Here is a 27367-nt window from a genome sequence, read left to right on the forward strand (position 1 = left end):
GGCTCAAGTGATCTGTCACCTTGGCCTCCCAAGATGCTGTGCGAGCCACTGTGCCAGGCCCAATATTGAATTTCTAATAGCCTCTTGTGAATTGTTGAAAAAATGTTGAAAACGAGAAAATAATTTCCACACAGAAAGCAAAGCCTCTTCTCAACACCACACCTTGAGTCCTTGCGAAGGACTGCATGGTATAACCACAGGATGGTCAAGGTCCACTGGCAGGATCTGGACACACATCGATTGGTGACATGAAAGCTTGTTGACTTCTAGCTCCATGAATTTCCTGCAATAGCATCAGTCCATGTCTTTCATCTTTCCTCACGAAGATGAAATAGAATTTATTGAGGGATAAGCATATTAACTTATTCTTTAATAAACTTTTATTTTTATTTTTATTTTTATTTTTTTGAGATGGAGTCTTGCTCTGTCGCCAGGCTGGAGTGCAGTGGCACCATCTCGGCTCACTGTAACCTCCACCTCCTGGGTTCAAGTGATTCTCCTGCCTCAGCTTCCCGAGTAGCTGGGATTATAGGCACCTGCCACCATGCCCAGCTAATTTTTGTATTTTTAGTAGAGACTGTATTTCACCATGTTGGCCAGGATGGTCTTGAACTCCTGACCTCCCGTGATCCACCCACCTCAGCCTCCTAAAGTGCTGGGATTACAGGCATGAGCTACTGCGCCTGGCCTCTTTAAGAAAATTTAAATCTTAGAATAGTTTTAAATTTACAGAAATGTTGTGAAGATAATGCAGAGAGTTCCCATATACACCTACCCCAGTTTCCTCATTGTTAGCATCTTACATTAGTAGAGTGCATTTGTCACAATGAATGAACTAATATTGACACATTATCACAAACTGAAGTCTATACTTTCTTCAGATTTCCTTAGTTTTTCCTCATATCCTTTCTTGGTTCCAGGATCATGCAGGATCTCACACTATGTTTAGTTGTCATGTCCCCTTAGGCTCCCTTTGGCTGTAACGATTTCTCAGACTTTTCTTGTTTTTCAATATATTAATTTTAAAAACTCTTTTTTATTTTGGAATGCTCTTCCTTCCCCTAGCAGAGCAGAATCCTACTAAATGAGTTCCTATCACACTTTAAATCAGATTTAAGAAAATAAATATCCACTTAAGAGCTCCTGGAGGGTGGGGCTGGATTATTTTAATCAATCTGCTGCTCCAGAATCCAGCACTGGTCCTGTTTCTGGCACAAATAGGTGTTCAGTAAATTATGTAGTCGGTTTCTTGGTTGATTCTTTACTGTTCCCTTGCTGGCATAGTTGGTTGATCTTTACTGGGCTTATAATGATCAATGGGATAAGATTTCTGCTTTTTGTTGTGTTTTTAAGACAGGGTCTTGCTCTGTTGCCCAGGCTGGAGTGCAAGTGGCACGATCTTGGCTCATTGCAGCCTCAACCTCTTGGGATCAAGTGATCCTCCTGCCTCAGCCTCCCAAGTGGCTAAGACTACAGGCACACACCACCATACCCAGCTAATATTTGTACTTAAGATCCCTGTTCTTAAAGATCTTAGAGGCTGGATGACAGAGACAGCTGTAGAGAAAACTAAGTAGAATGAAACATTGTTTATGTTGTTTATTGTTTATCTGGGGAGCTCTGCTGGACCCATATACAGAGTTGGGAGAGAGGGTAATCCTTTTCCTGGAGACCATTCCCAAATGTCAGTTGCACAGTATTAATCCATACCTGTGTTAATTGCAAACCTCTTATTGGGAAGCCTTTGGTGCAGACAGATAATCATAACTGTGCAGTGTATACAATGCCTTCCAAAATGATCTCCAGTGTGTTCACAGAACAATTTCTACACAACTACCTTTGCAGGCAGGAGTCAACCAGGCTGGCAGTATTCCAGGCACTTAAGCAAAATGCCTTGAAAAACATTTTTAAAAAGAAGTTTTTCCAGGGTCATATTCCCCTTGATACTAAAGACCTTCAATATTTCAAGGAAATTATATCTCATCTGTTCTTAAGCCATTTTTTCCTCCACTGAAACCAGTTGTCTTGTTAAACTGTAATGCCCAGTAGCTCTTTCTTAGCACTCTAAGGCTGCATGGTCCAGGATGATAGACACTAGTCATATATGGCTTTCTAAATGTAAATAATTAAATTTTAATAAAATTTACAAGTCAGTTCCTCAGTCATGCTCGCCACATTGAAAGTGCCCAGTAGCTGTACATGGCTAGTGGCTACCATGTTAGACATCACAGGCATAGTACACACTGTCATCAAGGAAATGTCTGTTACGCAGCTCTGCTTAAAAGACAATTTTCTTTTTTTCTTTTTTTTTTGGGACACTCTCTTGCCCAGACTGGAGTGCAGTGGCGTGATGTCGGCTCACCACAACCTCCGCCTCCCAGGCTCAAGTGGTTCTCCTGCCTCAGCCTCCTGAGCAGCTGGGAATATAGGCGTGTGCCACCACACCCGGCTAATTTTTGCATTTCTAGTAGAGATGGGGTTTCATCATGTTGGCCAGGCTGGTCTTGAACTCCTGACCTCAAATGATCCACCTGACGCGGCCTCCCAAAGTACTGGGATTACAGGCCTGAGCCACCGCACCCAGCTGACAACTTTCTTTTTATTTTTCCTTCTTCTTTTAATCAGAAAGCTACATTTTTCCATTTTAAAAGAATGCAATTTAAAGGAATACAATGAATACAATTGGGGGTGAACAAAATTCTTACAAAAATGCATATATCATAGGGAATAAGGAAAATGTCACAAAAACCTGATTTTTGAAGGCTTAAGGGGTCCAAAAGTTTTTTTTACCAGGAGAGTAAGGGTTTTCAGGCCTCCCAGCCTTTAAAAATAGAGTCTACAATTTTCAGTCTTATTCTCCTTCCATGGGCGACCTGATTTTGGATTAAATCTTAGGACCTGTGAAGAAATTAGTCATGGTGTATTTTACGTACTATGCGCATTATCCCTAGCCCTTTTCTTACTTCAACAAATGTTGGCACCTTCCTTAATTTATCTCAGTGGGTCTCAGTACGCTGGAGAGGAGCCAGAGGGAGCTTCAGTTGAGACGCACTCACTAGGGCAGGTGTTGGGGAGGAGGAGGGAGAGGGAGAAAGGAAGGGAGAGAGAGGATCTTAGGCAGACAGATAGGGCCCGAGGGAGGAGGAGAGGGCAAGGATGTATAAGGGCAATTTCCTTAACTTTACAAAGGACTTACAAAGATGTAAACATATTTTTGCCTTCCTAGCCGTGTGAACTGTGGGTTTGGATAGGTGAAAGAAGAAAGAAACAGCTGGGTGTGGTGGCTCACGCCTGTAACCCAGCACTTTGGGAGATCAAGGTGGGTGGATCACCTGAAGTCAGGAGTTCGTGACCAGCCTGGCCTACATGGCAAAACCCTTTCTCCGCTAAAAATACAAAAATTAGCTGGGTGTGGTGGTGGGCCCCTGTAATCCCAGCTACTGGGGAGGCTGAGGCAGGAGAATCACTTGAACCCTGGAGGTGGAGGTTGCAGTGAGCTGAGATCGTGCCATTGCACTCCAGCCTGGGTGAAAAGAGCGAAACTCCCTGTCTCAATGAAAAAAAAAAAAAAAAAAGGAAAGAAACTGACTTTTCGCAGTTTATCTTGCTCTTTCTTTCAAACTTTGTTCTATGTGCAAGTATTACCTATTAAAATAATTGCATTTAAAATCATTAAATTTAAAACAGAGGGCATGAAAAGCCATTCCACTGTTAGCAACTCTTGAATTACTCAAAGTAAGTATAGACTTACTTCAAAAAATAAGCCATCTTATTTCTCCCCAGAGCTAGAAATCATCTCTCTTTCTTTCTGATGTATTCCTGTGACTTTTCCTATCTTCACAGCTATTGTGCACTTGATTTCATTTCCAAAGCTCTCTGATCCTGCTGTTTGCTTCTCCACTGTGTTACAGCTGGGGCTGAACAATGGACCTGCCCAGTGCTGTTAGCATTACATTTTCATACAATGTCTCCCTGCCAGCATTGAGCAACACTTGGCTTGGTAAATCTTGTGGTATGATACTTATCAGGTGTTCCTTAACTGTAGCTGCCAGAATACCAGCAAAGTCTAACAGCAACACACCTTCTATATGTTAAATTTCTAATTTCTAAAGTTTTAATTTCTTGGAACTATGGTTGATGCAACAGTGCCCCAATAAAGTAAAAGAATTTATACAGTACTCTAGCTTCTATGCCTCTTTTGGGAGCACTTCAAGTAGTCTTTTGATCCATTTTTCACTTTACATTTCCTAAAAGTAAGCCAGACTTATTTAGTGAAGGACTTCAAGATTTTCTAATCTTGTAAATGAACCAATTGCTATTGTAGACATAATAATGACTGAGTAACATCAAAATAAGAAAGCTCAACTTTGGCAAATAAATCCATTATTTTCCAAACTATGGGAAATTTCTGATGAATAGCTTGTGAGAAACCAAAGCCATGAACTTATATATAAAGATGCTACTTGAATTAATCCCAGCTATACATAAATATGCCATTACCGAAATTTTACTTCTCACAAGGGACAGGAAATTAGAAAGAAAGAGAAGTGCTTAGATGTTTAGACTTAACTAGAGATTTACTCAAGACAAACCATGGGTAGAATGGTTGAAGGACGCAAACCTTGGGATGACAGTTTCTACAAATTATTACTATTATTATTATTATTTTTTGAGACGGAGCTTGCTCTGTCACCCAGGCTGGAGTGCAGTGGCTCAATCTCGGCTCACTGCAACCTCTGCCTCCTGGATTCAAGCGATTCTCCTGCCTCAGCCTCCTGAGGAGCTGGGATTACAGGCGCAAGCCACCATGCCCAGCTAAGTTTTGTATTTTTAGTAGAGCTGGGGTTTCGCCATGTTGGTCAGGCTGGTCTCGAACTTGTGACCTTGTGATCCTCCTGCCTCAGCCTCCCAAAGTGCTGGGATTACAGGCATGAGCCACCGTGCCTGGCCAGTTTCTACAAATTAATTTTGAAAGCCATAAATTACATGAAAGTTTTCATGAGTGATACAATGAACATCCGTATACCCCTTACACAGATTCGCCAGTTGTTAATGCCCTGTTACATTTGCTCTCTCTCCCTCTCCCATACTCCTAAATGTTTCAGCATTCGTGTCCTAGAAATGAGTCCATTTCCTGCAAATCCCAATACCATTTTTTTTTTGAGACGGAGTCTTGCTCTGTTGCCCAGGCTGGAGTGCAGTGGCACGATCTTGGCTCACTGCAACCTCTACCTCCTGGGTTCAAGCGATTCTCCTGCCTCAGCCTCCTGAGTAGCTAGGATTACAGGCGCCCGCCACCGCGCCTGGCTGATTTTTGTATTTTTAGTAGAGACGAGGTTTCACCATGTTGGCCAGGCTGGCCTCAAACTCCTGACCTCAGGCGATCTGCCTGCCTTGGCCTCCCAAAGTGCTGGGATTACATGGGTGAGCCACCGCGCCCATCCCCAATATCATTACATCTGAGAGAAGAAACATTCATTCCACAATCTTATCTAATCTATGATTCATATTTTAAATTCTTCACTTGTCTTCCAAATGTCCTTTCAAGCTGCTATTTTTTTCCAATTCAGAACCCAATCAAAGTTTACCCATTACCTGTGGCTGTACCTTCTCTTAAGTCATGTTGCCTGGAAAATTTACTAATGAGACTGTAGTGACCACCTACATGAGCCAAGTTCTCTGTGATTTTGCAACAGAAAGGCTCACAGCCAATGTAAGATGCTCGAGTCACCTGGTTTAGTCAATTAAAACATACCACAAACAACAAGGTGACACACCACCTGAGTCCTGGGTCAGGCTTCACCTTTCTGGCTGATGGTGTGGATCAGAAATGGGGTTTCAGCCAGCAGGCACCACAGTGGGAGATTTCCAGAGAGACCTGGGCCAAACTGCTCTGGCAACAGCGGAGGCTGGCCAGTTAGCCAGATGCGCAGTTAGCCTAGGGATGAACATCACCAATGAAGGGCCGAATTTAAGACCTGATGGATATTGGGTGCCTGATGTACCCCTTCTGTATATTTAGCAGGAACATCCAGTGCTTTTGGGGTTTCCATCTTTTTCTATCTGTGCACATTTGGGCTGCATTTAGTCTTCAGGCATGTTCTCAGAGGTTACTAACTTATTTATCTTACTTGGCATCTCTTATGGATTCTTCCTGGGCTGCACAAGCTTCTTCCTTCTTCAGTTACTTTCTCTACCCTCCTTAGGTGCTTTCTTGTGTCTATAATAGATCAACATTCTCAAGTAATACGGCATACACACATGACAATTATTTATTATTATTATTATTATTTTATTTTTGAGACAGAATCCTGCTCTGTCACCCAGGCTGGAGTGCAGTGGTGCCATCTCAGCTCACTGCAACCTCCGCCTCCTGGGTTCAAGTGATTCTCCTGCCTCAGCCTCCCAAGTAGCTGGGACTACAGGTGCCCATCACCAGGCCTGGCTAATGTTTGTATTTTTAGTAGAGACGGGGTTTCGCCATGTTGGCCAGGCTGGTCTTAAACTCCTGACCTCAGGTTATCTGCCCACCTCAGCCTCCCAAAGTGCTGGGATTACAAGCATGAGCCACCGTGCCCAGCCGACAACTATTTTTTAATCTAGAGCAGTTCCCTCTCCCTTGGGTTTTCCTTGCGTTGAATTTTTGAGGGTCTAGAGCAGCTATCCTGTAGAATATTCCATATTCTGGATTTTTGATTTGTCTGATCATTTCTTTTTGAATAAATTCAGGGTTAAATATTTTGGCAAGTATTCTTCATAGGTGCATCACACCAAGTGGCACATAATGTGAAGCTGTCCCATGACAGTGAATTTTTTTCACTTCGTTAAAGCTGTCACTGTCAATCACTCTATAGTGAAGACAAAATTTCCCTATTGCATTAATAGGGAGATTTGTAGGGTGCCCCACCCTTTTTTTTTGAGACAGGGTCACACTCTGTCACCCAGGCTGGAGTGCAGTGGCTCCATCTCAGCTCACTGCAACCTCTGCCTCCCGGGTTCAAGTGATTCTCCTCTCTCAGCCTCCCAAGTAGCTGGGATTACAGGCACCTGCCACTACGCCTGGCTAATTTTTGTATTTTTAGTAGAGATGGGGTTTCACCATGTTAGCCAGAGTGGTCTTGAACTCCTGACCTCAGGTGATCTGCCCACCTCACTTCCTAAAGTGCTGGGATTACAGGCGTGAGCCACTGCTCCCGGCCAGGGTGCCACTTTTAAGCTTTATAAATAACCTATTAATGGAATTGGGCGTGCTGGTCAAAGTGTATAATTTTGTTAGATATTGCAAAATTCCCTTTTATATGGTTAGTGCTGTTTTCTACTCCCACCCTCAATTTAATAGCAGGCTTATCTTTCCGTATGCTTACAAAGACAGTGCATTTTCAAACTTAAAGTTTTTAGGAATGTGATAGGTTAGACATGGAATCTCAGGGTGCATTTTACTTATGAATTAAGTTGAGCATGTTTTATTTTTATTTTTTTGAGACAGAGTCTTGCTGTGTCACTCAGGCTGTAATGCAGCCGTGCAATATTGGCTCACTGCAGCCTCGACCTCCTGGGCTCAAGTGATCCTCCCATCTCAGCCTCTCTAGTAGCTGGGACTATAGGTGTGCGCCACCACACCCGGCTAATTTTTGTACTTTTTGTAGAGACGGGGTTTTGCCATGTTAGCTAGGCTGGTCTCAAACTCTGAGCCTCAAGTGATCTGCTTGCCTTGGCCTCCCAGAGTGCTGTGATTACAGGCATGAGCCACTGCACCCAGCTTGAGCGTATTTTAATATGGTCAAGTGCCATTATCTTTCTCTGTGAACTGCTATTCTTGTCTTTTTTCTATAAACTTTTAACTTTTCCCCTCGATATTTAAAGTGCATTGTAAATCAGAGAGATTATCCCTTTATCTGGGATATAAACTGCACATACTCTCTCCTAGGTTGTCATTGCCTGGTAATATTCCTTGTGGGGATTTGTTGTCATCATTATTATGGAAAAGTTTTAAAATTTTTACGACGTCAAATTCATGAAACTTTACTGTTATTGCTTTTTGATTTTTTTATGAGACATGGTTTAAAGGCTGCCCTACATCTAGTTTATAAAGGAATTCACCAGTTTAAGTGTTTTGTATTATTGCATTTCCTACATTTGTATTTCTTATCCATTTGGAGCTTATTTTGGTGTAAGGCCTGAGGAAATTTAATTTCTAAATGAAATCATACTATATTACCTCCCCAAGAAAGCCAATTTTAAAGTGAAATTTAACAGACAAAGCAGTATGTTTAAGACATGTAAAGAACAATAAATCAGGCCAGGTGTGGTGGCTCACGCCTATAATCCCAGCACTTTGGGAGGCCGAGGTGGGCAGATCACCTGAGATCAGGAGTTTGAGACCAGCCTGGCCAACAGGGTGAAACCCTCTCTCTACTAAAACTATAAAAATTAGCCAGGTATGGTGTCACACTCCTGTAATCCCAGCTGCTCAGGAGGCTGAGGCAGGAGAAATGCTTGAACCTGGGAGGTGGAGGTTGCAGTGAGCCGAGATCATGCCACTGCACTCCAGCCTGGGCTACAGAGTGAAACTCTGTCTCAAAAAAAAAAAAAAAAAAGAACAATAAATCAACAAAATAGGGAAGACAACTCAGTGTCATAGGCAAGAGAAGTTGAAAAGGTATTTCACAAAAGAGGGAGTCCAGCTGTCCAATAAGCATATGAAGCAGTGCCTGCCAATCACACCACAGTGGTGAGATACTCTACACCCTCACCAGAGAGAGGGGAAAAAAAACCCAGCAACATCAAGTTTTGGCAAGGACAATGGACACTGTCTGAGAATGTGCTGTGGAAGACTCTGTGGCAGGAATTATTACACTTCAGGATGCGCCTTCCTCATGACCCAGGAATTCTGCTGCTGGGTGTGTAATCAAAGGAACTGAGTGGTGTGTTCCCCAGGTGATGTGTGCATGTTCATTGCAGCATTACTTTTTTTTTCGTTTTTTTTTTTGAGACGGAGTCTCACTCTGTCACCCAGGCTGGAGTGCAATGGTGTGATCTTGGTTCACGGCAACCTCCACCTACTGAGTTCAAGCGATTTTCCTTTCTCAGCCTCCTGAGTAGCTGTAACAACAGGCACGCACCACCACACCTGGCTAATTTTTTGTATTTTTCGTAGAAATGGGGTTTCACCACGTTGGCCAGGCTGGTCTCGTACTCCTGAGCTCAGGCAATCTGCCTGCCTCAGCCTCCCAAAGTGCTGGGATTACAGGTGTGAGCCACCTCGCCTGGCCACAGCATTACTTTTATAATTGCCTAGTTAGAAACAACCCAAATGCCTTTCAACACTAGAATGGATGAATAAATTTATAAGATGGGATATGTTATATTTATAAGATGGAATATGCTCTTGAAATGAGAATGAATAGGGCTACATCCAACAGCCTGAACGAACCTCACACAGGCAATGTTGAGCAAAAGATGTCAGATACAAGACTATTTGTCATACGACTTCATTCATATAAAGTTTCATGGCAGTTGTAACTAAGCTATAATGCTAGGTTGAAGACTTTGCTGGTAAAACTACAAAGAAATGCTACGAAGTCATTACCATTAAAGTCAAAATATTGGTTATTTTGGAGGGCAAGGAGGGGTTTGTGATTGGGAAGAGGCAGACAAAGAGCTTCTGAGATGGGTGCAAGATTCTGTCTACTGACCTAAATGGTAGTTTCAGGGTTTTTGTTTTCTAAAAAATGGTTAAGTTGCTCATTTATATTTTAGACACTTGTGTATCCAGATAGCTCCTGCCTTTCCTTCAAGCCCCTGCCTGGAAATTGTTGGATTATCTAAAAGGGTGCCTCCTACTCTTAAGAAAAACATTTTTATTCTCGGATATTGTAAGGTTCCTGAAAAAGTGTGAGTTGGCTATCCGGTTCTTTTCTTTTTCAGTAGGTAGAAATGAGCAGATGCAGTTTATATGGTATCTTGGATTTTTGCTTTCGTAAGCTAAATAGATTTGCAATCTAAGAGATTTCAGGATAGCAGAATACTATTAACAATTATAGCTGCTGGGGAGAGGGGAGGGTAGGACAACATTCCAAATAGGATGCTGGAAAAACATCCTATTTTAAAAGTTCTGTTTTGCTTGAAATTTTGCAAAAGCATGATTATTTTTCTATGAGAATAACTAAAAAGGGTGACTGAGGCCAGATGTGACGGCTCATGCCTGTAATCTCCCAGCACTTTGGGAGGCTAAGGCGGCGGATCACTTGAGCCCAGGAGTTCGAGACCAGCTTGGGCAACATGGCGAAATCCTGTCTCTACAAAAAATACAAATTAGCCAGGTGTGGTGGTGCATACCTGTGGTTCCAGTTACTTGGGAGGCTGAGGTGGGAGAATCACGAGCACAGGAGGTCAAGGCTGCAGTGAGCCGTAATCACACCATTGCACTCCAGTCTGGGTGACAGAGGGAGATGCAGGTCTCAAAAAAAAAAAGTGACCGAATCTGTTTTATTAGTGGAGAATAACATAATGACATGTCTTATGGTCACTTAAACCTTTAATTTTTACAACCATTTAACCATTTTTAAATTCTCAGAATTACTTAACCATATGTGTTTCATCCCCATTTGATAGATGGAGAGATTGACACACAAAACAGCCAGTAACTTGTCTTAAGACATCAAATTAGTGATGAAGCCAGAACTAGAACTTGGGTCTTCTGTATTCTAGCTGAATTACACATTTTCCTAGATCCCACTGATCTTCAGGTGTTCATTAAATTCTTCACCTAAGAAGAAAACAATCGCAGGAATTTTAAAGTTCCTGGAAGTTATTTGGAATGAACACCTTCCCTCCTCCACAGTGTCCTGTCCAAATTTAGACTATATGAGTAAAATTTATTAACATATTTTTACTCTGTGCTTTAATGCAATTGTTAAAATTTTCCTGTACTTTCAAAAGTGATTTCTGGTTTGCCATTTATCATCACCAAGATGTAAAAGTAAAAAGATTTTTAGACCGGGCGTGGTGGCTCACTCCTGTAATCCCAGCAATTTGGAAGGCCGAGGCGGGCGAATCACCTGAGGTCAGGAGTTCAAGACCAGCCAGTCCAACATGGCAAAACCCCGTCTCTACTAAAAATCCCCAAATTAGCTGAGTGTGGTGGTGCACGTCTGTAATCCCAACTACACCGGAGGGTGAGGCAGGAGAATTGCTTGAACCTGGGAGGCAGAGGTTGGAGTGAGCCGAGATGGTGCCACTGCACTCCAGCCTGGGCGACAGAGGGAGACGCAGTCTCAAAAAAAAAAAAAAAAAAAAGATTTTTAGGTCTGCATGATTTATTACAGAATTAAATAGCCAAACCAAAATATAAAAGGTTATAAAAATCCTATATAATCTGTATGCATTTTTGAATAGAGAATCGGAGGCAGATATACATTTCATGCTGATTTGTTGGATGTAGATTTCTGGTTCCAGGTATGTGTTAGCCTGAGTCCTGGGCTGGCTGAGAACACAGGCATAAGGTGTGTTGTGTACCTGTCATAGATTGATTTCTTAGGTAGTCAAAAGCCACACGCTGAGAAACCGGAAATAATACCTCACATACAGAATGCCAGGCTTGCTTCTAAGCGCTTAGTATATAGTCACCTAATTCATCTTCCAACAAAGCTAGGCACTATTATTATTCTTATTTGATAGATGGGGAACTGTGGCCTAGAGTGAGGAAGTGACATGTCACTGCACACAGCCTGGGAGTCCTGCTCTCAATCACCTCACTCTATCACCTCCACAAGGTTGACACAAATTTCTGTTATTTTGGATAGTTCTCTCATAATTAATTTCAAGCTTTTGTTTGGCTTCACAGTTTGGGCAGTGTCGCCTGCATCTCGGGGGTCAGTGCACAGTTGAGCATTCCAAAGCGATGCTGACTCTGTGTTGTTGCCTCTCTTGGTAATCAGTGACTTTTAGTGCCTGGTTTATTTTCATTCACTCAGAAGTCAAATTTCAAATATGCTAAGTTGATAAGATGCTACATGAAAGGAGGCTGTTTGGATGGTTTCAAATCTGCAAGCTATGAGTCCTGCCACCGCCCCCAACTCCAAAAATGTCCCCAACACTGGGAAGGTGCTCCCAGTGAGGGCCCACTCAGATGCAAATTTCTGGCTTCTAGTTAGTTTGTTTTGCATCTATCACCCAGCCTTGAGTCTCCGGAAGGACCCTCCACTGCCAAAGACAAAGCACTTCACATTCACACCCATGAGCTAGTGATGAAGGCAGGATAAGAGGCCCTTTCAGGATGAGATATGGGGCAGGGTCTCAGACCACACATTTCTGGAGGCCTTGTTTTGTATAAGGCAATTGCAAAGAGCAGTCTCCTCTCAGTAAAGGGTGGCAGACTTCTTAAATCCTGCTAATGGAGTTTGACAATGAGGGGATTAGGCTTGAATCTGGGCAAAGTGGAAGAGGCTGGCTAGAGAGGACACTGGGTTTTCCTTGATTCCAAGCAGGTGTAGAATGCCTAAGAGGAAACCTGTTTGTTTCCTCAACCAAGATGTCCCTAACCTGGTTCCCTCTATTTTGGGTTGAGGAAACACCAGGTCTATTTTGGGTCACCCAGACTAATATTAATCATTTAAGACTTCTGTTCAAAGCCTCCAAGGTCACTTTGCTAAATTTCAAGTCTCTGCCTGATTTCACTGCCTAAGGTGTTTGACCATAGGGGAAGAACTGAAATTTTTTTTCTGGCTCTGCCTTTAGAGAAATCCAAATTCATCATTCTTAGGGATTGTGGCACCAATGTCCAGGACGACAGCCCACAGGGGCCCTGGTTTCTCCCACTCTCAGTCCTCAATGCCTGGCAAACTGGCGAACTCAGAATGTTAAGAAATGTGAGCTACTGAAATACAGAACTTGAGAAATGATCCCAGGGAACATGACTCACTGTGTGACTGGTTTCAGCGGTTGCTCTGTGGAAACTGCTCCATCTGTTCCAGCTACAGTGGTTTCCTGCTGTGTCCCGTTGCCTGGCACTCAACACTCTGTGAGGCATGGTCACCACTGCTGGCCAGAGAGGGAGCCCGGGCCTCCCACCCCACACAGAGTGGACCTCCGCCATCTTGGAAGTTGGGTGTTTGCTTTTGGCCTGATTTAGTTGGCCTCAGTGAGATGTTTCTTAGCAGTGTAGGGATTGGGCATTTGCTATAAGAATTGCTGTCATGTTGAGTGTGTGTATGTGTAGGAAATGGGGAGAAAGTTTCATTTTTCAGAGCCTTTGTACTTCTCATCAACTCCATCTTATCCACACTTAGATGTCATTTGTTTTGCTAGCTGAGCCCCTAGAAGCTGATGGGCCTCCTAAACTCAGTTGTAAGTCAAAAGTTGTTATTTTGAAACTAAGTCCTGAAATTACTCTTAAATAGAGGTATTTCACATTTCCCACAAATGTTAATAGGACTGGTTTAAGTGGAGAAGAAATGCAGTTACATTTGTCTGCCAAATAACTCTTGGGAATCACTGAATAGTGCAACTCCCCCTGCTTCTATTATTATTATCATTATCATTATTATTATTGAGACAGGTTCTTGCTCTGTTTCCCAGGCTGGAGTGCATTGGTGCAATCATGGCTCACTGCAACCTTGACCTCCCTGGCTCAAGCAATCCTCCTACCTCAGCTTCCCGAGTAGCTGAGACTGCAGGTGCAGGCCACCACGCCTGGCTAATTTTTGTATGTTTTGTAGAGATGGGGTTATACCATGTTGCCCAGGCTAGTCTCAAATTCCTGAGCTCACGTGATCCTCCTGCCTCAGCCTCCCAAAGTGCTGGGATTACCAGGCCCAGCCTCTGCTTCTATAATTTAGTAAAAATAGAAAGAAAATTTTTACTGACAGTGAATTTTAGAGATATCTTATCCATTTTTGAATAAATTGTTCACGTTTGATTTTTCTCTTTGGAAACTCTTTTCACTTCTTGGGAGACAGGGAGTTGGCTGGGTGCAGTGGCTCAAGCCTGTAATCCCAGCACTTTGAAAGGCCATGGCAGGTGGATCACTCGAGTCCAGGAGTTTGAGACCAGCCTGGGCAACATAGTAGAACTTGTCTCTAAATAAATACATGAAATCAAAGTTAAGTCTCCTAGAAAACATTCTTGTAACTGGAGCCATACATTATAAAATTAGTAGGTTTTAAAATTTTAATTATGGATTTACAGAGATAGAAGAGAAGACAGGTGAGCAGGGGGCAGTGAGCAGGTCACCACTGTGCATGATGACACTCTGGCTGCCTCCACCTGCTGCCCATCTTGAAGCGCCTACCTCGTGAGACTCTCCAGCCTTTCGTCTTTGCCAGTCCAAATCCTCCTCAAAGGCTTCCTCTAGTTTGTATCTTTTAAAATGCAAATTGTTTTCATGCTGCAGTCTCTTGAGTTCTTTTACTCTTCTCCTTTCTTGGTCCATAATAGGAGAAGCTTTCTATCATAAGTAAAATTAGATTTTAGTCTTGTAAAAGTTATATTTGTTTGAGTGTGGTAGCTCATGCCTGTAATCCCAGCACTTTCAGAGGCCCAGACATGAGGATTGCTTGAGCCCAGGAGTTCAAGACCAGCCTGGGCAACATACCAAGACCACATCTCTACAAAAAATTAGCTGGGCGTGGTGGCATGCAGCTGTAGTCCCAGCTACTCAGGAGGCTGAGGTGGGAGGATCGCTTGAGGTTGCCATGAGCTATGATCATGCCACTGCCCTCCAGCCTGGGTGATAGAGTGAGATCCTGTCTCTCTCTGTCTCTCTTTTTTGTTTAAAAGAAGTTGGCCTGGCACGGTGGCTCATGCCTGTAATCCCAGCACTTTGGGAGGCCGAGGCGAGAGGATCACCTGAGGTTGGGAGTTCGAGACCAGCCTGACCAACATGGAGAAACCCTGTCTCTACTAAAAATACAAAATTAGCAGGGCATGGTGGCGCATGCCTGTAATCCCAGCTACTCGGGAGGCTGAGGCAGGTGAATCGCTTGAACCCAGGAGGCAGAGGTTGCAGTGAGCCGAGATTGTGCCATTGCGCTCCAGCCTGGGCAACAAGAGTGAAACTCTGTCACAAAAAAAAAAAAAAAAAAAAGAAGAAGTTATATTTTGCTATAATGTCAATTGCCCCCTCTATCCATTAGGATTTAAGCATGATTAAGTTTTTCCCAACTTAAAAAAAAAACAACAAGAATCCCTCTCCTGTTCCTCTCTACCCCTGCTGCATGCTGTCTTCACTTCTCTTATCTAAGCCTCAACTCAGAGGCTTCTCCACTCCTTGGAATTGAATAATGACCTCTTTCTTGCCAAATTCATGGTACACTTTTCCTTCTTCCCTTGCTACACTCCTGTGGCATTTAACTTGGGTATTAATTCACTCCTTTTTGGCTGAATCTCTCTCTCAGTGGCCCCTGAACACTGCTGGTCCTCTGAACTCTCAATAAACTCTTTTCAGCCTCCTCAGAAGCCTGTCTTCCACTGCACATCCCTGCAAACTTTCTCTTCTGCCCTTCCTGGGGTCTCTGCAGGCTACACAGTCTCTGGGAGCGGGGAGGGTCATCTACTTCAAGCCCAAGCTCTTTAAATTGTCTCTGTGATGGACAGTGCCGGGGGAAAAGAGTCTGTAGGAACCCCTCTCAGTTGAGTCCCTTTCTGGCTCTCAGTGTAAGACAAACTCCTGGCCCAAGGTCATGGCCCTTCCCAAGGGAAGCCACATCCCATGACCTGTTTGAAGGCCCAATTTCTCACCTCAATTCAGGTCAATTCTGAAGGGCCATCTCCACCCACAAAGCTCCCTTTGAGATCAGGGGAAGCCTTTGTTGTGACTGGATCATGGTTCAGCTTCTTCACGTGCCTGAGCTGGCTTCCTTCATTTTCCCACGTGTTGACCCTAAGAGCTTCTCCATGGACAACAACCTCCATCTCGGAATCTTCTTCCCAGAAACTACCTGTGGCCTCTATATGCTGAAGGTCTCCATCTTTACATTTGCAGCCTGAATTTCTTTCCTGAAACCCAGATCCCAACCTCTGTTGTTTGTTGGATATCATTATTTGGGTGTTAAATAGGTTCTTCAAACTCCACAGGTCCCAACCTATGTTCATGTCTTCCTTTCCAGTCCATTCTCTTCTCGGTGGGCTCCTTCTCTCTTTTTTTCAATTTTTTTATTTTTGAGACGGAGTTTTGCTCTTGTCGCCCAGGCTGGAGTGCAGTGGTGCAATCTCGGCTCACTGCAACCTCTGCCTCCCGGGTTCAAGCAATTCTCCTGCCTCAGTCTCCTGATTAGCTAGGATTACAGGTGCCTGCCACCACGCCTGGCTAATTTTTGTATTTTTAGTAGAGACGGGGTTGCACCATGTTGGCCAGGCTGGTCTCGAACTCCTGACCTCAGGTTATCCATCTGCCTCGGCCTCCCAAAGTGCTGGGATTACAGGTGTGAGCCACGGTGCCCGGCCTTTCTCTTAATAAAGTGGTTCAAGCCAGATACCTAGAAGTTACCCTTGGTCTTTTCCTCGCTGTTCCCATTCAATCCATCACCAAGTCTTGTTGATTCCTCATTTCCACTTCCTTGTGATAAATATTTCCCAGATGTATCTAGTCTTCCATTCTCTTTGCTGTTACCTTATCTCATGTCTCCACCATCACTTATTCCAATTTTCTCCTTTGCCTCCAACTGCCTCCTGAGTAATTTCCTTGGAATGTAAGTATTTTCATGCCGTTGCTCTGCTTAAACCTTTCAAGGGATTCCTATCGCCCTTCTGTCAAGTCCAAAGTTCTTGGCCAGGCATGGAGATTCGTGATTTGTCATTAGGCCCTTGCTAACCTGCATGGCCTCCCTCCTATCTTGCCATTGCAGCGCTGGTCCCCAGGACTAGCCATGTAAGTCTTTGAGGAGTGATCAAAAAAGTCATTAGCTGCAAAAGCCTTTTTTTATAGATGTTTTTTCTTTCTATCTGTTACTTTCTTCTCTCTCTCTCTCTTTTTTTTTTTTTTTGGTTATCCTTCCTACTAAACTGTATGTTCCCTGAAGGGTATAGAAAGCATACTGAGTGAGTGCTTGTAGAATGGATAAAAAAAAGTGTGAAAAGTGAGATTTGAATCAGTGAAAAATGAATGGAATTTGTAAGCAATAGAATACACTGAAAACATCCCAGGGGTCTAATGAGTGGGCTTAAATCCTGTGTAGGGATTTGGATTGCAGAAGAGAAAGAAAGTATACATGTGACTCTAAGAAGCCAGTGCATTTGGGAACCAGGCAAAAAAAAGATCTTGCTTCCCCCATGATGAGGACAGTTCTAGTTTGGATGGGAGTGTTGGGGGTGGGTTGATAGGAGCTAGAGATGGACACCAAGCTAATTTGTGAATGGACCTGTGCCAAGCAGAGCTGAGGAGTTTCAATTTGTGATTATTTCAGTTGTAGATGGTTGTACTTCAAGAAACTTCCACAATGTGTTAGAAAATGTTTTCACTTTGAACACTAGCAGATAAATATTCTGCTAATGGGTAAATATTCTAAAAATGATGTAGTAGAAGATGAATGGAGAAAAAGACGCGATTTCAGAAGCTTTATCTTAAGCAGATAGTTCTGTCCCTCTAACTGGTAACAGAAGTATACTACCGAAGTGGCAGGATGAATTAGGGCTCAGAGAGGAGAAGAAAGGGAGAGAAAAGAGAGAGTCCAAGGACGTTGCGAATAAAATTCCAAATGCCCTGCTCCCAGAGCTCTGGAAGGAAAGCTGTTCTTGCCCTCTGGCTAATGCAGGATTTAAGCTGATCTGGGTCAGTGCTGGTAAGCGCCATCATTTTGGGGGTCTCCTTTGGGAGACTTACTAAAAGTATCCTCTCTTGCATTCTAGACGGTCTTCTGAGGGTTATGTCCTCTGTATCTGTGATGTCGTCGGAGCCTGAACTCTGGATCCATATTTTAACATAGAGCTAACAAAGCCCTTTACCTCTGATGACTTGTTTTGTTTTGTGTTTAGCAGGTGTCAAAAATTTCCAAAACAAAAGATATATTATTTGTTACTTCAGTAAACAAACAACACCCCCTATGATCACTTGATTTTTTGACTTGTTTTTGTGCTTACCAATAACCCTCTTCACAGCAATTTTAATATGCCTTCTGCTTTCCTACTTTAAAGGAAGGGCAGAGATGTTTAGATTAGCCTTGGGGTAAAATTCTAAGGTGTCCGATAACTTGAGGGATCTTCTTTTTTTTTTTTTTCTTCTGGGTAACAGAGGTGTTGTTTTACCTTTTTTGGGTTATGGTCCAGTATTGCTTGAACTATTTTTTAAAACAAAATTTCTTAGGCCGGGCGCAGTGGCTCACACCTGTAATCTCCAGCACTTTGGAAGGCTGAGGTGGGTGGATCACCTGAGGTTGGGAGTTCGACACCAGCCTGGCCAACATGGGAAAACCCCGTCTTTACTAAAAATACAAAAAATTAGCCAGGTGTGGTGGCATGCGCCTGTAATCCTAGCTACTTGGGAGGCTGAGGCAGGAGAATCACTTGAACCGGGGAGGCAGAGGTTGCAGTGAGCTAAGATTGCGCCATTGCACTCCAGCCTGGGCAACAAGAGCCAAACTCAGTCTCAAGAAAACAAAACAAAACAAAATAAAACTTCTTTTCTGAATGGTCTTAGATTTATAGAACACTGTGAAAAGAGCACAGAGAGTTCCTATATGCCCTATATCTAGTTTCCTTTCATATTGACATCTTATATTAGTATGGGATTTTTATTATAATTAATGAACTACTACATTACTATTAAATGAAGTTCATATTTTATTCAGATTTCCTTAATTTGTTATTTTTTATTTTTTTTGAGACAGAGTGTCACTCTTCTCACTCAGGCTGGAGTGCAGTGGCATGATCTTGGCTCACTGCAACCTCCGACTCCTGGGTTCAAGGGATTCTCCTGCCTCAGCCTCGCAAGTAGCTGGGATTACAGGCACTCGCCACTACACCTGGCTAATTATTGTATTTTTAGTAGAGACAGGGTTTCACCATGTTGGCCAGGCTGGTCTCGAACTCCTGACCTCAGGTGATCTGCCCACCTTGGCCTCCCAAGGAGGTGGGATTACAGGTGTGAGACACTGCGCCCGACCTTTAGTTTGTTGTTGTTTTTGCTTTGTTACCTAACATCCTTTTTCATTTCCAGGATTTCATCCAAAATACCACATGACATTTAGTCGTCGTGTCTCTTTAGGCTCCTCCTGGCTCTGACAGTTTCTCAGACCTTCTTTGTTTTTGATGACCTTGACAGTTTTGAGGAGTACTGTCAAGTACATTTTGTAGAATACCCCTCAGATGTGTTTATTCTGATGTTTTTCTCAGTTTAACATGAGGTTATGGGTTTACAGGATGAAGACCACAGAAGTCAAGGGCTATTTTCATCACATTGTATCAAGGGTACATACTCTCAACATGATTTATCACTGGCGATACTGACTTTGACCACCTGGCTGAAGTAGTGTTTGTCAGTTTTCTCCACTGTAAAGTTCCTTTTCCCTACCTTCCAAACTGTACTTTTGGAATGAAGTTGTTACATGTAGTGAACACTCAAGGAGTTGTGCTGCATCCCTCTAAGGGCGGAGTAGCTCCAAAAATTATTTGCATAGGAGATTGGTCTCTTCTTCCCATTTTTTTCTTCAATAATTTATTTGTACCATGAATTTGTACTCATGGATATATATTTTATCCTTTGAACGTAATCTAATACGAATTTATTTTGTAGTTCTAGTTGTTCCAGCTTTGTTAGGAGCTTGTTAGTTGGCCTCTATGTTCCTTTGACATATACTCCAGTCAATGTAGGTTTTTGTTTTATTTTATTTTATTTAGCATTTCTGTATTTCCTGGCTCTATAAAATACCTCCACTCATCTTCTATATTCCCTGTCCTGTCACAGAATCAGCCATTTCACCAAGAAGTTCTGGTTCCTTTTATTGGCAAATAGTATTAGAAAACAAGAGCTAGGTGTGCTTGTTGCTACTGGTGTGTCATCGCTTCAAGACCCTTTTAGCTGACAAAATGTGGAAATATATGTGTGTACACTAACCTGTGTGTATACACATATCTACATATTTTTCCATATGTGACTATTGTGTCTATATTAAGCTAAACATGAGTTCATGCTGACGTCCCCAACTCTAATCTGTTATCATGTGGATTGCTCTAGACTCTTCCTCTCGCTTATTTGTAAACTCCTGTTCCAGCTGTGAGGAATTCGACTTCCATCAACTGCCATCCATTTACTTAATTGTTCAATTGCAGTGTACATGTATGGTAGCATTAGAATTGTTAACCTGTACTCCCATGGGAAACAACTTTCATCAACTAGAGTAGAGTCTGTCCAATTTCATTTGCTTTTAGTCCTGTAGGCTTCACTCATTTCCAAAGGTGCTTAAGTCAGCACCCTTTCTTCCCATCCCACTAATGAGACTATTTCACACATTTGTAATACAGTTAGATCCTCTTATCTCATTCTGGGATTCCCGACCTCCTAAACAATTTTTTTTTATTTGCACACATTAAGGATCACTCTTTGTGCTGTAAAGTTCTATGGGTTTTAACAAATGCTTAAACTTATGTATACATAATTATGATATCTTGCAGAATAAATTCACTGCCCATGAGCAGAGATCGCTCCCCTGCAATCCAGCCTGGGCAACAGAGCAAGACTCCATCTCAAAAAAATAATAATAAAATAAAATAAAATAAAATAAAGAATAGATTCACTGCACTAAGAAATCTGTGCTTCACCTCTTCAATCCTCTCCCACAAGTCCTTGTAATCACCCATCTTTACCATTTGTGTTGCCTTTCCCAACATGTCGCATAACTGGAAGCTTACAGTATGTAATATTTTCAGACAGGATTCTTTCATTTAGCAACATGTATTCAAGATTCATCCGTGTCTTGTTATGACTTACAGATCATTTATTTTTTATCTCTAAATAATATTTCATTGTATTTGTATATCACAGCATATTTATCCATTCACCTATTGGAGCATATATTGAATGTTTCTAGTATTTTGCAATTACGAATAAAGCTGCTGTAAACATTCACATGCAGGTGTTTATTATGGACATAAATTTTCAGAGAAGTTGAATACATACCTAGGAACATGATTGTGGAATCCTATAAGACTACGTTTAGCTTTGTAAGAAACAGCCAAACTGTCTTCCAAATTGCTGTACCATTTTGAATTGCCATCAGAAATGAATGAGTGTTCCTATTGCTCTTCATCCTCAGCAGCAAGTGGTATTGTCAGGTTTGGGAGTCTGGGCCGTTTTCATAGGTGTATTGTGGCATCTCATTGTTGTGTGTTTTCTACTTTTAACTTTCCATTGTATAACTAGCTAAATTACTTCACAGAATGGATTGAAAGCTGATATATGGCTGTCTTTTTTTGTTAGAGGTTTTAGAGAGTTATTTTTGAAAGTGTTCTAAAATATAAATTTAATCACTATGCTATGTAAGCATACAGTAAGATCTCAAAGTCATCAATAGGTTCTTGGAACCTGCAACTTTAAGTGAAATGATGTATAATGAGATCAGTGTTACTTGATATAAAATTTTAATTTTAGTATCAATATAAATTTTAATTGATATAACCAAGAGTTAAGTTCCTATGGCATATTTCTAGCCACAAGAACATCACCAAACTTCTAAAGAAAGACCCCAAGCACTTTTAATATTAAACAATGAAATAAATGTGAGCTATAAGTAAATTTAAGAAAGATTAATAAAAACAAGAAAGATAATTATTTACCCAATTATTGGTGAATCAGTGAGTGATAGTCGTCATAGTTATGGTGAGTTAAATCAAGGAATAAATGTTTGCAAAGTGAAATTATAAGAAGCACCTCCTCCCACCACACAGTTCAAAAACCATCACAAACATGGCGGGCTTGTTGAATGATTTCGTTTCACATCGTTTGTGTGATTATTGTAGACTTTACACATTTTTATTTTATAATCATTTGGATTCATTCATTCATTCATTTATTCCAGCTCACGGTGCAGCCAGAGCTTGGCCTGGCAGCTCATGGTTCAAGACAGAAACCAGCCCAGGTCAGGATGCCATCCCTTCTCAGGGAGAACTCACACACTCCCAGGCGCACACCCACTCACTCCCCACACACTCTCACACTCTAACCCACACACACTCCCACACAATCCCACAGTCACCCTCCCACACACACTGCAACACACTCATTCATACTTACATCCACACTCATTCCCACACCCACATGCACATTCACACACACTTCTACCCTCCCACACTCCTACTCTCACACTCACTCCCATACTCACTCCCACACTCCCACACTCACACTCACTCCCACACCCACATACACACTCCCACATTCACACACACTTCTCCACTCCCACACTCTTACTCCCACACTCACTCCCATACTCACTCCCACACTCACACTCACTCCCACACCCACATGCACACTCCCACATTCGCACACTTCTACACTCCCACACACTCATTCCCACACCCACACTCACTCCCACGCTCACACTCCCACAATCACACTCCCACACGCACACTCACTCCCACACACTCCCACACTCACCTCACTCCCACAATCACAGTTCCACACCTACAATCACTTCCACACTCTCACTCCCACACACTCTCACCCTCACTCCCACACTCACACTCACTCCCACACACTCACACACTCCCACACCCACACTCACTCCCACACTCACACTCACTCACACACTCCCACACTCACACTCCCACATTAACACACTCCTACACTCCCACACACTTCCACACTCACACACCCCCACACTCACACTCACACTCATACTGGGACCGTTTAGACACGCCAATGAACCTTTGGGACATGGTAGGAAACTAGAGAACCCAAAAACTCCCCGCAGATGTGGGGAGACCGTGCAACCTTCACACAGACAGCGGCCCCTGCAGGAATAGATTATTTTTTCTCATCAACGATATAACAAAATGGCATTACTCGAGGACCTGCTGTATATGGTTTGATGAGTCAAGTCTTTACAATGCAAGTTTGTTCAGTTGGTGTGTAACTTCTTTACGATCTGAAAATTCTAAAGAATAAATTTTTAGGGATGCAATCAAATGTGATTAATTTACTATCTATTGGACACTTGCTATGGAAATGGAGTAGAAAAAAATAATATACAAATTATTGTCATCCAAGTTTTAAACTAATATGCCTATATATTACTTTTATTGTAAGTTTAAAGAACCGTAAAATAATGATCCCGAATAAAGCTAATAGAGAAAGTATCTTCTTATAGAAATTTAGGTGGAAAGCTTTTTATTTAACCATGTAGGTTTTTTTTTTAAAACACAACTGCCATGAAAGGACAGCAATTCATTTTATATTCTAATTCTAATTTGTATTCTTAAAATAAGAATATTAAATTCAAGGAAAAGTTTCTTTTCCTGAGCCGTTTTTGGATGGTCCTGAACTCCTGCCGTCTCTGCCCTCTGGCATTGCCTGAGTTTCCGTGGTAAGGCAGGTTAATCTTTGCAGCTACTGCAAAGAGCGCAGGGAACTCATCTGTCTTTCATTGTCAAGTAGGTCGTTCCTTAGTCCTCTCTGGGATTTGGGCTGGGTAAGAATGATTTATGCGAGTAGGTAATTTTATTCACATCTCTTTATTGTTTTAGAAAGCTGAAGTTGAGTAATGATGTAACCTTTAACATCAGCAGGCTTATTTAACCCTACATTTGGTTTATTTAAGTTAATACCATCCGGTAGTTGCCTATTTTGATTTTCCCGAATCTTTGAACTTTGCACCCTCTTTATTCTTGATAAACCCAGGGTCTGCCCTTACCATCCTGCTTGGTCTCTTTTGGGACTTGCCAATTACACGTCTGCTTTGGTTTAGAAAAATCGTTCCTGTGCATTTAAAAAAACCTCCACCCAGCGATTCCTGATATAATCACAGAGTAGACTGCTTGAAACGGCCAGTTGCAGGATAAAGGAAAGATAAATCAGTGGGAGTTGTGTCTCCCTGTCATGAAATCTGGTTTTTGACCCTAAGGGTTAGGAAGCCTGATAATCACCTCCTGCTTTGGGCTTGGTCCTGAGCTCCCCTCGGAGGACGTCGGTGCCCAGGCTGTTCCGTTTGGGTGGCCAGCTTGCTTTGGCCCAGGGGGTTCTCATGGCAACAGTGAGCTTCCAGGTATTCATGTGGGTGGTGTGAAGAATGGGAAATGTTGCCAAAATTCCCTGAGTGTTCCATAATCACCTTGAGATCTGACTCACTTGGGGCTGTCACGTGGGGAGATGAGGGCTGTGGATTCGAGGCAACCATCCATCGGTTATCAGGACTCAAGTTGTGATTTCTCTCTGTAAGCCACAGTTCTGAATCTGGAAACCAATATAATCTCAAAACACATTTCAACTTTAAATCGTAGGGGGAGAAGAAATGAGCTCCTTTACACCGCATCAGTCTAAAATAATAACTTTTTATTACTACAGAAACAGCACATGATCATTGTAGAAAATTAATAAGTAAAGCAAAAATAAAAATGAAAACATATCACCTTCCTTTCACCTAAACTCACTACTGTAACACGTGTGCATATCCTTTTTTTTTTTTTTTTTTTTTTTTTTTTTTTGTGTTGGAGTTTCGCTCTTGTTGCCCTGGCTGGAGTGCAATGGTGCGATCTCGGCTCACCACAGCCTCCGCCTCCTGGGTTCAAGCGATTCTGCTGCCTCAGCCTCCTGAGTAGCTGGGATTACAGGCATGCACCACCATGCCCAGCTAATTTTGTATTTTTAGTAAGAGACAGGGTTTCTCAATGTTGGTCAGGCTGGTCTCGAACTCCCGACCTCAGGTGATCTGCCTGCCTTGGCCTCCCAAAGTGCTGAGATTACAGGCTAGAGCTATTGCCCCTGGCCATGTGTGTATATCCTTCTGGATATTTTTCTTCATGTACATATAGGAGCATTGTTATTATTATCAAAACGACACCACATGATATACACTGTATTGTGACCTATTTTGTCAACCAAACATTTCCATTTCAATAAATTTTCCTCTCTTGTGTATACCATCCAAATCACATTCAGATTCCCCCAATGTCTTTACTGCTGGCTCTCACAAGGAAATATCCACTTTGATGTCATCATGCATTACACGAGGTTGTTATAATCTATGTATAAGGGAAATTTTTCTATTTATATCAGCATTTGCTCAGGAGATACAAAAACTGAATACTGTGTTTCATGAAAACAGATTCTAGTGAAAGCATGCTGACAAAGCAGCAGGAGCTTTGCATGACCCTTGTACAACAGCTCCTAACTGGGCCGAACTGAAGACTTTTTCTTGGCTGACAAACAATCGTACTTTTTAGCCAACAGTTTACAGAGATTGGTGGACTCTGTCCTATCCAGGATGCTAGTTTTCATTCCTAGCTAATATCAGCACCATACGTACACTGCCACCACCTTCAACCTTTGACTTTTCCCTGGGTGAAGCATTCACTGAATTTCTGTATTGATGCATATTTTCTCATCTGGCCAGGAATTAATAATTTGACTTTATGGCTGGGTGTGGTGGCTCGTGCCTGTAATCCCAGCACTTTGGGAGGCTGAGGCGGGCGGATTGCCTGAACTCAGGAGTTGGAGACCAGCCTGGGCAACGTGGTGAAACCCCGTCTCTACTAAAAATACAAAAAAAAAAAAAAAAAAAAGAAAAAAAAATTAGCTGGGCATGGTGGTGTGTGCCTGTAATCCCAGCTACTTGGGAGGTTGAGGCAGGAGAATCGCTTAAACCCGGGAGGCTGACGTCGCGGTAAGCCAAGATCACACCATTGCACACCAGCCTGGGCGACAGAGCAAGACTCTGTCTCGAAAACAAAACCAAAACAGAACAAAAGACTTTGTATTTTTTCTTTTTTCTCTGGTACTCTTTGTTTTATTTTTCTTAAATGTACACTATTAAAGGGATTTATTGGTAGTATTGGAATTATTAGGCAAGTTGAGTTGATCGTTGCAAAGGTATATTTAGTTGGGTCATTTGGAGACTCACTCTGGATAAGGCGGTCAGGCTGTCTGCCTGGCTTCCCCATTCCAGGGCTCACCTGGTACCAGCTTACCTGTTGGCTCCTCCCCCAGGGCTGCATGTTTCTGGGGGTCCATTTCATCACATTTTCAACATGGGGATTCTACAGCTGTCTTCTTCAGATTTGAGGTTGGATGTGTTTCTTTGAAGTTGGATGGAGTTATCTTAGGAACAGTTCTTCTGAAGTATGTTTATTTCCCCGGTCTGCAGGTTTGCCCCAGTTTCTTAGACAAACAACTGGACTTTTGACTCATCCATGTCAATGAGTAGAATTCACAGGCTTCTCAGGCTGGGCCCCACAAAGTGTATAATTCTCAGAACTCACCTAAATCTAGGGTCTCAAATTTTGTAATCATTTCATTTTAGTTTGACAAATCAATGTCTGCAGTTCCTTTAGCTTTGATGTTATAAAGTGGATTTATTTCCAGTTTTTGTAGTGTGTGTTGTAACTAGCAGAGCTATGAGTCAGAGGGTTGGGTGTTCTCTATTTTGCATGGAACACGCCGTAAAACACTGCACAAAATGCTTACTGCTCCCAGGTTTAGTTTCCTCACCGGAAAATGGAGCTAACACTCCCTTCACTGAATTCTCCTTAAGGCTGAAGAATAGATAAGTGCTAGAAATCATTTATCTGTAGTTACTGAATAATGTTTTAGGGATTAAGGATAACTTATTATTTTAACTTGCATTTTGTTATCTTTTAAAGTGGGTTATTCTTATTATTTTTTGAGACAGAGTCTCACTCTGTTATCCAGGCTGGAGTGCAGTGGCGCAATTTTGGCTCACTGCAACCTCCTTCTCCAGGTTCAAGGGATTCTCCTGCCTCAGCCTCCTGAGTACCTAGGAACATGATTATGGAATCCAGGCGCCCACCATCACTCCCAGCTAATTTTTGTATTTTTAGTAGAAACGGGGTTTCGCCATGTTGGCCAGGCTGGTCTTGAATTCCTGACCTCAGGTGATCCACCCGCCTCGGCCTCCCAAAGTGCCGGGATTACAGGTGTGAGCCACCGTGCCCAGCCACGAAGTGAGTTATTCTTAAGGATCCTAAGAAATCGTTGGCGTGACTCCAGATGTGTGGGGTAGACTAAGAGTTGATGAAGAACTTGCTCTGGTTCAGGGCCCCTTTAGTTCAAGGTTTACAGGGCTTTGAAAAACCTTGGAGTCTGCCCTCTAACCAGGGCAGGGCCTGCTTTGGAAAAGGCTGCAATCAAATTCCCCTTGACAAAGGTAAAAGTGCTAGAGGGAGCCACCTACTGAGATCACGTTTCATTACACCAGGAAAATTTTCT

At 42.5% G+C, this 27367-nt stretch overlaps 2 annotated features.

Annotated features, from left to right (window-relative positions):
* Positions 5323-5822: an enhancer, noted in NCBI's record as "H3K4me1 hESC enhancer chr8:55174003-55174502 (GRCh37/hg19 assembly coordinates)". NCBI's record gives its function as "activates a minimal SCP1, AML or CMV promoter by ChIP-STARR-seq in naive H9 embryonic stem cells {active_cell/tissue: H9 hESC(naive)}" and the evidence as "EXISTENCE:reporter gene assay evidence [ECO:0000049][PMID:30033119]".
* Positions 12239-13101: an enhancer, noted in NCBI's record as "NANOG-H3K27ac-H3K4me1 hESC enhancer chr8:55180919-55181781 (GRCh37/hg19 assembly coordinates)". NCBI's record gives its function as "activates a minimal SCP1, AML or CMV promoter by ChIP-STARR-seq in naive H9 embryonic stem cells {active_cell/tissue: H9 hESC(naive)}" and the evidence as "EXISTENCE:reporter gene assay evidence [ECO:0000049][PMID:30033119]".

The sequence above is a fragment of the Homo sapiens genome, chromosome 8, assembly GCF_000001405.40.
Source record: "Homo sapiens chromosome 8, GRCh38.p14 Primary Assembly".
NCBI lineage: Eukaryota > Metazoa > Chordata > Mammalia > Primates > Hominidae > Homo > Homo sapiens.